Genomic DNA, 15,152 nt, shown 5'->3' on the forward strand with positions numbered 1-15,152 from the left:
ATGTTCGTGATGACTTTCCCTTTTATCAGGAACTTCTTTTGCTCCTTTTAGTGCTGTTCTCCTTAAAGTCTTTTTTGCCTAAACAATTCTCTACATCCTTTCTTTTTGGTAGCGTTCACCTGCTATGCAATTTCCCATCTCTGTGTTTTCCAATTCCTGTGTTTTTGCTTCTTTCTCTCTATAGTAGTACGGAAGTTATAGACCTCACTTCTGTTCCTTTAATGGCTAATCGACACACATACCTAAACTTTTATTTTGTATCAATATCCAGAATTACCCTTTAGCTCTATCCTCATGTCAAACAAGACAAAGGCCTGCACACCTACCTCCCTCCTTCCCCTTGTGCCTCACATATTTAGATCATCTGGGATTTTAGTTTCTTTTATTTCACCCCAAACATCAATTATTTAGATTTTATGTTAACTTTGGGGTGCTTGGACAATCCTGCTGAGGCTAGACCACAGGGATTCTTAGCCACTTGTTTTCCTGAGTGTGTGAACACGTAGGACCTGGTGGGCTCTCCCTGGAGAGCATGGTCAGGGCTGGCCCACTCCCAGGGGACAATTTAGAAGATGAGAGAAAACAAAGTATGACATATTCCTTCAGCTTTATATCCTGCACTGTTGTTATCATTTTCTAGGCTTGATGCTTTGCACTCTCTCATAGAAAAGGACGGAAGCCTGCCCCTTGGTGTTCCAAACAAGGAAGTAAAGCCATAGTGGATGTGTCTGTCTATACTTCTGATTGATTCATTGATTGATTTGAGACGGTGTTTTGCTCTTGTCGCCCAGGCTGGAGTGCAGTGGTGCGATCTCAGCTCACTGCAACCTCTGCCTCCTGGGTTCAAGTGATTCTCCTGCCTCAGCCTCCTGAGTAGCTGGGAGTATAGGCAGCCACCACCATGCCCAGCTAATTTTTTATTTTTAGTAGAGATGGGGTTTCATCATGTTGGCCAGGCTGGTCTCAAATTCCTGACCTCATGCGGCCCACTCGCCTCGGCTTCCCAAAGTGGTGGGATTACAGGTGTGAGTAACCGCACCTGGCTCTTCTGACATCTTTAGTGCACGACACGAGGCAGGTCACCTCGGCAAAGAGGCAATGGCCAGTTCTGTCCACAAGGCTCCAGTGGGAACAAATCATGCTTGTGGGGTGTGAGGGTGGAAGGTCTCAAATCTCTGCTGGCCCTCAGAGGGTGGAGATAAGAAGCCCTTCTTATATCTGCCTCCTAGAGGTCTGACTTTTTCACTTGCTAACTAATAAAAAGAATTTATTAAGGCTGGACATGATGGCTCATGCCTGTAACCCCAGTGATCTGGGGGATCGCTTGAGCCCAGGAGTTAGACACCAGCCTGGGCAACAGAGCAAAAACCCATTTCTTAAAAAAAGAAAAAAAAAAAAAAGCTGATAGCTGAATGCGGTGGTGTACTCCTGTAGTCTCAGCTACTTGGGAGGCTGAGGCAGGGGGATTTTGTGAGCCCAGGTTGAGGCTGCAGTGAACTATGATCATGCCACTGTGCTCTAGCCTGGGCAACAGAATGAAAACTCATCTCTTTAAACAAAAAAAAAAAAGAACTTATTAATCCACATATATCTTCAGAGAATGTCAATGGTCATGCATAAAACTGTTCAGTCAAGAAAAAGCAACATAGGCTTATTAAGAGATACAGAGGTAAGCCAGGTGCGGTGGCTCATGCCTGTAATTCCAGCGCTTTGGGAGGCCAAGGCAGGAGGATCATGAGGTCAGGAGATTGAGACCATCCTGGCTAACATGGTGAAATCCCGTCTCTACTAAAAATACAAAAAAATTAGCCGGGTGTGGTGGCAGGTGCCTGTAGTCCCAGCTACTAGGGAGGCTGAGGCAGGAGAATGGTGTGAACCCGGGAGGCAGAGCTTGCAGCGAGCCAAGATCCCGCCACTGCACTCCAGCCTGGGGGACAGAGCGAGACTCTGTCTCAAAAAATAAATAAATAAATAAATAAATAAATAAATAATAAAAAGAGATACAGAGGTAGCCGTGAGAAGTAGTTTGAAGAACTAAGTGACTGCCTTCAAGGAGTGGAACATGGAAACAGGTCACAGCAGAAACATTTGGCTTTTCATTATGCGTTCAATTGACTGTTTTGTTAAATACAACATACAAGGAGCATTTTGACTTAAGAATTCAAACATGCACACCAGAAACCTAAGTTTAGCAGTTTCTTTACTTATTGCTGTGCTTTTGTATCACACTCTTTCCTCTTACAGTCTCTTGGTAATTCCTTCTCTTTTTTTTGAGACAGAGTCATGCTCCGTTGTACCCAGGCTGGAGTGCAGTGGTGCGATCTTGGCTCACTGCAACCTCTGCCTCCCGGGTTCAAGTGATTCTTGTGCCTCGGTCTCCCAAGTAGCTGGGATTACAGGCGCCTGTCACCATGCCCAGCTAATTTTTTGTATTTTTATTAGAGACACGGTTTCACTATGTTGGCCAGGCTGGTCTCGAACTCCCAACCTCAAGTCATCTGTCCCCCTCGGTCTCCCAAAGTGTTGGGATTACAGGCGTGAGCCACTGCACCCAGCCAGGTAATTCCTTGTGAAGGAGTTTTTGGATGATAAAGTCTCTGGGACCAACTCCTAAATCTTTCCTTCTTCAGGATCTATTCTATCAGCCAACCGCTGAGATTTTTATTTCAATCTATTTTTCATTTCCAAGATCCTTAATAGAATCGTTTTCATAGCAACCAGTGTCTGTTTCATGGATACAATATACTCTTATTACCTGAGACTATTCATTGCACATACATATTTATAGACTACACCTCCTCTTTCTCATAGTGACTCTGTCTTCTAGGGTGTCAGGAGTTGGTTGAGTTTGGTGATGCTCTTTCATGATACTGGTTTACCTCAAATATCAGTTCTTAGTTTGATGCTTATTTCTGGGACTACAGGCACCCGCCACCAGGCCCGGCTAATTTTTTTTTGTATTTTTAGTAGAGACAGGGTTTCACCGTGTTCGCCAGGATGGTCTCGATCTCCTGATCTCGTGATCCACCCACCTTATAGGTGTGAGCCACCATGCCCGGCCGCTTATTTCTGATTTTGTACCCTGCCCTGCCCCCTATCCAAACATACCCCTGACTCTGGCTTCCGTCTGCTGCCCCTGGTTATCAGTGGTCATGAGACCACTGGGCCATGTGCAGGGGTCATGGGGCAGAGGCACCAGCCCCCAGGCCTCTCAGGGCCTCCTATTCCTCCAGCCTAATCACCTTATCAACCACCTGTAAAGTGCCCCTGGGCCTTCTAAGTCTGGATGCCTTCTTACCAAGAGGGTCGGTATCTGCTTGCATCTGTCAATCTGACAATCCTTCAACATGCACACTGGTTCAGACCACAGACCCTGGATTTGAATCTCAACTCTGCCTCTTACTAGTTGTGGATCCTCAAGGCAAGAGGGCTCTTGGAGCCTCAAAGTTTCTTGTCTGTAAAATAAGCATAGCAAGAGACCTGCCTCCCAACGTTGTTTATGAGGATTCAACCAGCTAGTGCTTAAATCAGTAATGTGCTTAGAACAGTACCAACTGCACAGAAGGCACAAGTGTTTATTAAATAAAAAGTATTCAATAAATGATGCTGGGACAATTAGGTTATTTGGGAATTTTTAACTTTTAAGTTACATGCCTACCTCATTCAATACATGAAAATAATCCAAACTCAAGAATTTTGTAAAAATAAAACCACAATAAGCTCCAACCTTCCCCTTGGTAAATCATGGTGGGTAGGACCAAAGACATGGAAATGTATGCCTTTCAAGCATCTTTAGTAATTACAACAGCAAGCATAGCAAGTCCAGTATGGGTACAATCTGACTACCAAAAAGGGCACACTCAGGAGGTCAAGGCTGCAGTGGGCTGTGATAGCACCCCTGCATTGCAGCCTGGGCAACAGAGTGAGATCCTGTCACTAACAAAAAACAGAAAACAAAAGAGGGCACAGCACACCTACAGAGTAGCAGTGAGAAAGTCAATTAGTACAGATAACCTATGGAGAGTAATCTAATGATAAACATCAATGGTCTCCATCAGGGGCAGCTCTGCCTGCCATGGGACACCAGGCAGTGTCTGGATGTATTCTGGGTTGTTACTAGTGAGACAGAAGGTCCTACTAACATCAAACGGATAGAGGCCACAGATGCTGCTAAACAGCCTGCAATGTCCAGGACAGCTCCAACCCTAATACAGAATGATCCAGCCTCAGTGCTGCAGCTGAGGCTGGGCGCGGTGGCTCACGCCTGTAATCCCAGCACTTTGGGAGGCCAAGGCAGGCGGATCGCATGATTTCAGGAGTTCAAGACCACCCTGGGCAACATGGTAAAACCCCGTCTCTACTAAAATACAAAAAATTAGCTGGGTGTGGTGGCGGGCACCTGTAATCCCAGTTACTTGGGAGGCTGAGGCACAAGAATTGCTTGAACCTGGGAAACAGAGGTTGTAGTGAGCCGAGATCACACCACTATACTCCAGCCTGGCGACAGAGCAAGATTCCGTTAACAAATAATAATAATAAAAATAAAAAGTGCTGCAGCTGAGAAACTGACATAAATCAAAAGCCTCTAACATGAGCTTTAACCCAGCAGTTTCACGCCCAGATATCATAATAAACTGCCAGAAAGGTAGGCAGAAATACAATCAAAGCACTGATCATCACTTTTTTTTTTTTTTTTTAAGAGAAATGGTGTCTCAGCCCAGCACAGTGGCTTACGCCTGTAATCCCAGCACTTTGGGAGGCCAAGGCAGGTGGGTCACCTGAGGTCAGGAGTTCGAGACCAACCTGGCCAACATGGTGAAACCCCATCTCTACTAAAAATACACAGATTTGAGACCTTCCACCCTCACACCCCACAAGCATTATTTGTTGCCACTGGAGCCCTGTGGACAGAACTGGCCATTGCCTCTTTGCTGAGGTGACCTGCCTCATGTCGTGCACCTGTAATCCCAGCTACTTGGGAGGCTGAGGCACGAGAATCGCTTGAACTCAGGAGACGGAGGTTGCAGTAAGCCAAGATTGCGCCACTGTACTCCAGCCTGGGTGACAGAGCAAGACTCTTTCTCTGGCTTGTTCTTTACTTTCTCTAATAAGAAAGTACTATATTTAGGACGCAAACTGTAATTTTAATAAGTTGTTCGGCCGGGCGCGGTGGCTCACGCCTGTAATCCCAGCACTTTGGGAGGCTGAGGCAGGTGGATCATGAGGTCAGGAGATCGAGACCATCCTGGCTAACACTATGAAACCCCATCTCTACTAAAAACACAAAAAATTAGCCAGGCGTGGTGGTGGGCTCCTGTAGTCCCAGCTACTCGGGAGGCTGAGGCAGGACAAAGGCATGAACCCGGGAGGCGGAGGTTGCGGTGAGCCGAGATAGCGCCACTGCACTCCAGCCTGGGCGACAGAGCAAGGCTCCGTCTCAAAAAAAAAAAAAAAAAAAAAAGTTGTTCTATTTACATAAAGAGGCAATTAAGCAAAAGACAGTTTAACAAATATTAGCAATAAATTGCAAACAACTGCAATGATGTATTACTAATCTTACTACCCTTACTCTGTATTCTCTGCATGCACATCTCACTGCATCCTTAAAACAGCCCAGCAGGGACTTGGAGCTGTAGTCACAGGTGAGAGAAGGCCACCCACCCAGCTGGCCTACCACTGGTCTGCAGCAGAGCTGGGGCTTGCTGAACCCACATAAATCTGAGCCACCCTCATGCTCTTCTCACTGGAGAACACCACTTGCTCAAGTATCTCACCCTCTGCTCTCAATACCATCAGAGTGACCCAAATTTTGCCATATACTCCATGAGAGGGATTCACAGCGTGGACATTTAAAGACCTACCAGTAAGCAGGGTCCTCTTTGAGAAGAGTTCTCTCTTTGGGAGACAGGCTGCCTTCGATGACACGTTTCACAAGCTGGTCGATGGTGCCCACTACCCTGTGATCTGCTCGCTGGGGGACAGCTGGAACACACAGAACAGCTTCTCTGAGAAATATGCTGAATGTGGGCTCTGAGAAGACGAGGATAGTTGAGTAGTTGGGGGCTTAGTGCTGAACCCAAGCAGGCATCAACAACCGAAATCCTCATTCACAAGACACCAGCATTGAAAAGAGGAAAACAACCAATATGGAAAATCTCCTCCTAAAAAATGTAACAGTATAACCACTAGGAGAGAAACAGTCACAGCTTTCAATGACTGGACAGAGCAATTTATGTATATGCTCTAGAAAAAGAAAGATATATAGCAATTTGATATCATTTTTCACATATTACTTAATAATTTGAGTGTTCATAACATTAAAGTGGAAAATATAAATATCTAGTATAAAATATACAAAAATGTATCTAGGTTATGGTTCTCAATATAAAGGTGGGAATAAAAAATATAAATATGGATACATAGAAAGAAGACTATAAGGAAATATGTTAGGAAATATGTTAACAGAGGTTATAGGGGGTAGAATTATCAGGAATTTCATTTTCCTTATGCTTTAAGAACTTAAAAAAAAAACTTGTGTTTTGTAATCAGAAAATATATGTATCAATTCACAAAAAATTTTCTCCAATTAAAAAAAAAAAAGAAAAAAAAAAAAGGTCAGCCGGGCACGGTGGCTCACACCTGTAATCCTAGCACTTTGGGAGGCTGAGCGGGGTGGATTGCCTGAGCTCAGGAGTTCAAGACCACACTGGGCAACATGGTGAAACTCCGTCTCTGCTAAAATACAAAAAAAAAAAAAAAAAAAAAAATTAGCCAGGCATGGTGGGATAGAGCGAGACTCCATCACAAAAAAAAATAAATAAATAAATAAATAAAAAGGTCAGTGATCCCAAATTACATGTTCACAGAAAATATCTGCTGAATGTATAAGAAACAAATTTTGGCCAGGCACAGTGGCTCACGCCTGTAATCCCAGCACTTTGGAAGGCCAAGGCAGGCGGATCACGAGGTCAGGAGATCGAGACCAGCCTGGCTAACACGATGAAACTCCATTTCTACTAAAAAAATACAAAAAAATTAGCTGGGCATGGTGGCGGGCGCCTGTAGTCCCAGCTACTTGGGAGGCTGAGGCAGGAGAATAGCGTGAACCCGGGAGGTGGAGCTTGCAGTGAGCCGAGATTGCGCCACTGCACTCCAGCCTGAGCGTCAGAGTGAGACCCTGTCTCAAAAAAAAAAAAAGGCAAATTTTTTTTTTTGAGATGGGGTCTCACTCTGTTGCCCAGGCTGGAGTGCAGTGGTCCCATGACAGCTCACTGCAGCCTCGAACTCCTAGGCTCAAGCAATTCTCAGGCCTCAGCCTCCCAAGTAGCTGGGATTACAGACATGCGCCACCACGTACAGCTTTATTTTTTTGTACAGACGAGGCTTCACCACATTGCTCAGGCTGGTCTCCAATTCTTGGGCTCAAGAGATCCACCCTCCTTTACCTCCCAAAGTGCTGGGATTATAGGCATGAGACACCATGCCCTGCCCAAAATATTTTTTAAAGTGTGAATGTCCTCCAATATGACTTTAAATTTACAATGCTGCCAGCAACACAGAACATGTTTCTTCGAATGGTAAGATTGTTTAGTTTCCTAACAATTGTCTAGTTTTAAAAGTACAGAATGATGGCCGGGCACAATGGCTCATTCCTGTAATCCCAGCACTTTGGGAGGCCGAGGCGGGTGGATCACCTGAGGTCAGGAGTTCGAGACCAGCCTGACCAACATGGAGAAACCCCGTCTCTACTAAAAATATAAAATTAGCCAGGTGTGGTGGCACATGACTGTAATCCCAGCTACTAGGGAGGCTGAGGCAGGAGAATCGCTTGAACCTGGGAGGCTGAGATAGCGGTGAGCCGAGATCATGCCATTGCACTCCAGCCTGGGCAACAAGAGCAAAATTCCATCTCAAAAAAAAAAAAAAAAAAAAAGCAAAGAATGGTCTATTTGTTCAGCCACTCAACTCAATTAAAATCACTGCTGAACTAGCGAGGTTTTCCAGTTTGTTCTGTAAATGATTGCATAGTCCTGTGCCCGTCTGTGTCCATGTTGCAGCTTTCAGCTTATTTTAAACACTAGTGTGAGCTCCTCACACATGATGAGTCAATCCTTCAACTGCCACGTTATTCCAAGTATGTCCCCTATGAAACTGCTTTTTTTTTCATGGCTCTCTTTTTACAGAGCTACTAGTTTTACATGATTTTACAAAAGATGTTGAGGTTTACAGTCAGCAATGAAATTTAGGGACCCCTGCAAATTTGGTCATCTTTAGCTAGGATGACCACGAACAAGGGTCAGAAAGTGGGTCACAGCTTTGGCCCAGCAATCCTACTCCTGAGAATGTACCCTTTCAAGGAGAATTAAAAACAATAAAACTAACAGTAATAACCAAAGCATTCAACCAAAGATGTCATTCCAGCATTTTTTTTTTTTTTCTAGATGGACTTTTGCTCATCACCCAGGCTGGAGTGGAGTGGTGCGCTCTAGGCTCACTGCAACCTCCACTTCCCAAGTTCAAGCATCTCTCCTGCCTCAGCTTCCCAAGTAGCTGGGATTATAGGCATGTGCCACCATGCCAGGCTAATTTTTGATTTTTAGTAGAGACAGGTTTCGTCATGTTGGCCAGGCTGGTCTCGAACTCCTGACCTCAGGTGATCCACCTGCTTCAGCTTCCCAAAGTGTTGGGATTATAGCTGCGAACGACTGCACCCAGCCCATTCCAGCACTTCTTTTTTTCTTTTTTTTCTTTTTTTGGAGACAGAGTCTCGCTCTGTCGCCAGGCTGGAGAGCAGTGGCAAGATCTCGGCTCACTGCAACCTCTGCCTCCTGGGTTCAAGCGATTATCCTGCCTCAGCCTTCCGAGTAGCTGGGACTACAGGCACATGCCACCACGCCCGACTAATTTTTTGTATTTTTAGTAGAGACGGGGTTTCACCGTGTTAGCCAGGATGGTTTCGATCTCCTGACCTCATGATCCACCCGCCTCGGCCTCCCAAAGTGCTGGGATTACAGGCATGAGCCACTGCGCCTGGCCCATTATAGCATTTCTAACAGGAACATAAGCAGCGGTGGGGCAGCCTCATGAGATGTGGGCCCTGCTGCCACCTATCCCGCTATCCAGACAGGGAACTGAGGCTTGCAGATGCTAACTACATGTGAACCCAGGTCTGTCTGGCTTCAGAAACCTCTAGTAAAAGGCAGCATGAGTCCAGCATCAAGGGAAAGGTGAGGTAATTTACATTAGGTCAATATCAGGATGTAGCAAAGGCTGTGGAAACAAAGAGGGCTTTCTGGCAATCATGTAGAAGAGCAGGCGGTAGCATTTTCAGTCCAGCATGCCTGCAGCTGCAGGAAAACAGGGGGAACATCAAAGACTGTGGGAGGGTAAGTGGGTGGGTTATAACCACTTTAGGTTATCGGTGACTTTTCTTCCTTCATACAGTATGCCATCACTTTGTGAGGGATTGGGGAGTAGGGTCCCTTAAGCCCTGAGCCTACTTCTGGAAGGATCCCTCTCTGGGAGTAGGTGTGGCCACCTGTATGTGGTGGGACCTATCTAGTGTCTAGTGCTGTTGGGGCTTCCTGAGGGTGGTGAAAGAGCAAAGAAAGTCAGGAACAAATGAGACTTCGCCACTGGACTGGGGGCAATGGAAGGTGAAAACCACATCGTGGGAAAAGTGCTTTCTCCCTATCACAAGAGTTAAGACAGCATGATTACCATGTGTGCTCGTGACCTCTGGGATGTCTGGGCTGTGAGAGTCCATTCTGGGAGCTTAGGAGGAAGGAAGAGGGAAACCAAACAGCTCATCACTTCTATTTCTCCTCCTTGGCCTTTTCCTCTCCCCAGAAAGCCAATGATAACTGCTAATTAGCAGGTGTACTTAAGTGATTCACCAACTTTAGCCAGTCTACAAAAGTGAGTAGGGCGAAAAGGTGTATCCACTATGTGGAATGACCTGGCTGTTCCCTACACATCCCTCAATACAGCTCAAGCACGACCTCTCCAACTTTCCAGGCTAGACTGGAGCCTCTCCTGTGTCGCTTTAATTCTAGCACAGGGGTGACTGTTTTTTTGTTTTGGTTTATTGAGAGACAGGGTGATTCTAGCCCAGGCTGGAGTGCGGTGGCTATTCACAGATGCAATCATAGGTCACTGCAGCCTTGAACTCCTGGCCTCAAGCAATCCTCCCTCCTCAGCCTCCCAAGTAGCTGGGATTTCAGACATATGCTACCACCCCTGGCTCACAAGTGACTGGTCTTTGTGATTTTCTTCCCTCAGGAGCCTGGGGATTCCTCAGAGACAGTGCTCTGTGTCTTTTCTCCCTTCTAGTAATACCTTGTGGGGACATGTTGGAACAAGGGTTCCAGGCCAGGTGCAGTGACTCACACCTATAATCCCAGCACTTTGGGAGGCTGAGGCAGGTAGATCACTTGAGCTCAGGAGTTCGAGACCAGTCTGGGCAACATGATTCTCTACAAAAAAATACAAAAAAAGTTAGCCAGGCATGGTGGTACATGCCTATAGTCCCAGCTACTCAGGAGGCTGAGGCGGAAGGATCACTTGAGCCTAGGAGGTCGGGGCTGCAGTGAGCCATGGTCATGCCACTGCACTCCAGCCTGGGTGACAGAGCACGACCCTGTCTCAAAAAAACAAAAACAAGGAAAGAAAGTCAACCCTTCTTTTTTTCAAAGGTTAAAAAGAAAAAAAAAGGAACAAGCGTTCTTAACCTTGGCTGCAGAAAGGTACGAATCCCCCGGATGATATAGGTAAAATTGTGCGTGAATAGATGAGCATTTTTTCTGGCAATGGCCACAGCTTTCTACCAAATTCCCAGAGAGGTATTTGACCTAAAAATGTCTAAAAATTTTTATTTTTCTGAGACAGAGTCTTGCTCTGTCACCCAGGTTGGAGTGCAGTGGGGTGATCTCAGCTCACTGAAACCTCCGCCTCCCAGGTCCAAGTGGATTCTCCTAACTCAGCCTCCCGAGTAGCTGGGATTTCAGGTGCGTGCCACCACACCCGGCTAGTTTTTGTATTTTTAGTAGAGATGGGGTTTCACCATGTTGGCCAGGCTGGTCTCAAACTCTTGGTCTTAAGTGATCTGCCGCCTCAGCCTCCCAAAGTGCTGGGATTACAGGCATGTGCCACCACACCCGGCTGTCTAAAGACTTCTATGGTAAACAGCAGATTCCTAATACACATTCACAGAATGAATGGCAGACATATATTGGCCAATGTGCGTTTTCTACTAAAATCCTGATATGTTTCCAATTGGCTAAAGAACTTCTGTGTAAAAAAATCTCGAATAAAAGACATTACCAAAGAAACACGAAAAACAACAAATAGAAACTTTGGCTGATTTCCTTACCATCACTCAGACTACTTGGAGCCTTGGCCTGAATTTCAGGTTTCGTAGGAGGAATCATTTTCTCCTCCTCTCGCATCGGCTCTGGTTCGGCTTTCTTAACCTGGAGGGGACATCCGCTGCTGACTAGCCAGGCCTTCAGGTGGTCTATGTACTCTCGCCCAAACAAAGTGGAGTCTTCGAAGTTTGGAAACGCAGCAGGTGAGGGAGCTATATCTTGCAGGCCGACAGCTTCTAAGATTTTCTCCTGCCGGAAAGAAGAGGCCAAGGAAAATGTCTGTCCCAAAAGGGCCAAAGACTTCCGGCAGAGAGAGTTGGTGGTTTCTAGGGCAAGAGCCAAGTCCAGGGGGTTACTGAGGGTCTTCATCTTGACACTTAGCTCGTAGGCATTGCAGGCCATAAGCAAAGGTGTGACACTCTTCAGAAGCCGGTCTTGAAGTCTCATTATGTACTTGTCAAAAGGCTTTATGATTTCAAAAAAGCAATTTTTGGTCTTCACAGCACCTTTGTCTAAAAGCATGTTTAAAAACTCATTATCAACTCTGGGTGTTTTCAAAGCAGAGTGCTTTAAAAATTTGATAGTAAAAAAGCAAAAATCTCTGTGCTCTGGTTTTAAGGAACATTTGAATGAGGCAAGCATTTTAGCACAGGTTTCTGTTTCAAGTTCAAAGAGAGTCTGGAAAAGTTGGGAAAATTTAATATCATCTTTTATGGTGTGGAATCCTGCCCATTTGATTATTTCTATCCCAAATCTTGAAAAAACATCAGACTTATCTATGATGTCAAAGCTCATCTTTCTTCTGGGGAGCCGAAGATTCTTCAGATCCAGCCCCAGAGGGATCTTCTGAATGGGGAACTGGATATCTTCTGTCCCTGGGTTTGTCCCCAGGGTCACATCAGGACTTGGAGTGTTTTTCTGGATTTGGTTAGTGCCCTGAGTTTTGGGAGTAATACGATTCACGGTGGGTATTTTTTTTGTGCTCACATTTCTCAATGTGACAAGTTTCCCAACACCCCCCTTAGCTGTGAGCAGGCCCTGAGTCTCCCCCTTTCCTAGGAGGGAACCTTCCTGGTCAACGATGTTTAGAGCTCGACCTCTGGCCTGGACTTGACTGCCGCCCCTAAGCACAGAGTCAGCCTCCCCAGGATGGTCCACGTCATAATCCCGACTCTCCTTCTCCAAACACTCTTTCTCAATCAGCCTGGAAGATCCAAAGTCCCCCAAAACTGCAGAGGGACCAAAACTATACTCCTGTGACCAAGAGGACTCTTGAGAAACTGGATGGCCAAAGTCTTGTTCCCAAGAACCACGGAGCGCAAATTTCCAGTCCTGAGAACGGAAATGCCCCAATTTCCGGTGGCCAATGACCTGGTCCCGAGAATCAGAGTGAGAAAATTCCAGATCCCGGCCACATTCTTTGCGAAAGTAGCTGTCATCACTGATGGAAGGGTTGCTTGATCTGAAGGAAGGCCCTGGAAATACGTCACTTCTCAGGCCTTCTCTTCCGGCATCTCTAGAGTGAGCTACAGATCCACTGAGGGAGTATCTGCCATCGCTGTGGACGTCATCATACATCTCTGCTCTGGATCTTGGGACTGCCCTTAAGAGATCTGAAATAAACCATCCAAAAAAAAAAAAGAAGAAGCCAAAAGATACTTTAGACCAGAGAATGCAAACAGTGCAAACAAACAGTCCACGGATCACCAGGCAGCAAAACTGCTTTATACACCTCAGTGCTTTTTGCCAATCTGTATTTGCTGCCAACATTTAAAATGCGTGTGGTGTCACTTAAAAATCTGGATCGACTACTTACTAAAACAGAAGACCTATAAGCACCAAGCCTGAGTTTGCCCTGATGACGTCAACCCAGGCTGGGCAGTAGCAGCCTGACGGGCAAGACACAGACTCTCTAAGTTGGCACCAACAGCCCTCGCTCATTCAGATCCCCCTACTCTCTAGCCATCTGGGTTGACAATCCCTCTTTTAGTCTGAGGAAAGGGTGTTTGGTCCCCAAATAACCTGGATATTTTTACTGCAACTGGAGCACTTCTGTGTTTCTACTTCTATCTCAGAACAGACAGGTTTTATTGAGGCTACCTGCCTTCACTGCCTCTTAGAAGGAAGTCTCAGCCCACAGTGCCACCGTGAGGCTAGAGGAACCATAGCTAACACCACACCCACCACAGCTGACCCAAAGCTGGCTGAACCCATCCCTCGGAAAGGTCGGCCAGGCCAATCAACCCTCTCTCTGGAGCTGAAAAACCACAGACCGAGGCAGGCAGGAGGGAAGGCAGAAGCTTAACAAGATACATCAAGAGAGGCCATGATGGAAACTGAACAGTGCCCAATTCTGTCCTTCTCCATGTAGAAAAGGGGAAATGGGCCAGGCACAGTGGCTCAAACCTATAATCCCTGCACTTTGGGAGGCCGAGGTGGGAGGATCACTTGAGCCCAGGAGTTTGAGACCAGCCTGGGCAACATAGCGAGACCCTATCTCTGTCAAAAATAAAAAAGGGCGGAGGGGAAGATGTACTTGCATTTGCTTAATCACACATGGAGAAACTGTAAGAAGCGAGGAAGAGAAGTGAACTACGGGCATATGAGAACAGTGGGCCTCAGGGAGAGTTTTCATGGAATGCCTTTCTTTCTAGCTTTTCAATCAGAATCGATGACCTAGTTAAAAAAAAAATCAAATGAACAGGGAAGGAGAGGTGCCAGGAGGTAGCAATAGGTTAAGAGGCCACAGGAAGCCAAAGTCGTATATAAATCCTAGTTCACTTGTTCAACAAGTACAAACTGGGCACCTACTGTGCGCAAGCACTGTACTAGGCACTGAAGTTACAGCAAGAAAATGAGAACTCTTCCAAACTTGTCAGTTGAGAGAGCCAGACAATAAACAAAAATATATCAGATGCAAGTTAAGTACCAAGAAGACAAATCAAGCACGTGGGAACCTGAGGAGGCAATGACATTTTGAGACAGGCTAGTCAAGGAGGGTAGCTCTGACACTTTTTTTTTTCTTTTTTTTTTTGAGACAGAGTCTCGCTCTGTTGCCCAGGCTGGAGTGCCGGAGTGCAAGGGTGCGATCTTGGCTCACCGCAACCTCCACCTCCCAGGTTCAAGCGATTCTCCTGCCTCCGCCTCCTGAGTAGCTGGGAATACAGGCACCCGCCACCATGCCCGGCTAACTTTTGTATTTTTAGTAGAGACAGGGTTTCACCACATTGGCCAGGCTGGTCTGGAACTCCTGACCTTGTGATCCGCCCACCTCGGCCTCCCAAAGTGCTGGGATTACAGGCGTGAGCCACCGTGTCACGCTGCATAGCTCTGACACTTTATCTAGCAGCAGTGGCCTGGCATGAGGAGCCAGACCGTACAGTTACAAAGGGAAGCCTTCCAGGCAGAGGGGGAATGAGGACAAGACCCTGAGGTGGGACCAGTAGGGGGCCAATGTAGACAGAAGGGAACACAGGGAATGAAAGGCCAAGTGGTAGGAAGGCAGCTCCCAAACTCTGCTACTGGAGCCCCAGGGACCACCTCCCCAGACATTCTTACTTAATTAAATAAGGGGATGACCTGGGCATCAGGGTTTTTAAAAGGCCCCCAGGTGACGCTAACGTGCTACAAAGTTAGGGAACCACTAATATAAGAGACACAAATGGAGAAGGAGTACCAGATCCAAGTCGGGCCCTCAGTGGTACTCTGGAATTTACTCTGGGAGAGACAGAAGGCTAGTGAAGAGTTCTAAGCAGAGGGATGATCTCACTGGCTGCTGCACAGGGA

The 15,152-nt window shown here is 46.4% G+C and overlaps 1 protein-coding gene across 40 annotated transcripts in view, besides 1 other annotated feature; it reads right to left on the reverse strand.

Annotated features, from left to right (window-relative positions):
- SUGP2 (SURP and G-patch domain containing 2) overlaps window positions 1-15,152 on the reverse strand; it is a 42,958-nt gene that overhangs the window by 22,361 nt on the left and 5,445 nt on the right. For all 40 annotated transcript variants that reach the window (XR_430124.5, XR_001753576.3, XR_007066515.1 and 37 more), the window contains exons 3-4: window positions 11,372-12,979; window positions 5,862-5,982 (exon numbers count right to left, since the gene is read on the reverse strand). Coding sequence is in view for 13 of the 40 variants with exons in the window: in NM_001321698.1 (NP_001308627.1) it covers window positions 5,862-5,982; window positions 11,372-12,979 (1,729 nt within the window). In the remaining 27 variants the exon portion in view is untranslated. The remainder of the gene's footprint in view (window positions 1-5,861; window positions 5,983-11,371; window positions 12,980-15,152) is intronic.
- Window positions 11,988-13,187: an enhancer, noted in NCBI's record as "BRD4-independent group 4 enhancer chr19:19136044-19137243 (GRCh37/hg19 assembly coordinates)". NCBI's record gives its function as "activates an origin of replication core promoter dependent on BRD2, P300/CBP, MED14 and CDK7 cofactors, and independent of BRD4, by STARR-seq in HCT116 cells {active_cell/tissue: HCT116}" and the evidence as "EXISTENCE:reporter gene assay evidence [ECO:0000049][PMID:35650434]".

Source organism: Homo sapiens, chromosome 19 (genome assembly GCF_000001405.40).
Source record: "Homo sapiens chromosome 19, GRCh38.p14 Primary Assembly".
In the NCBI taxonomy this organism is placed as follows: domain Eukaryota; kingdom Metazoa; phylum Chordata; class Mammalia; order Primates; family Hominidae; genus Homo; species Homo sapiens.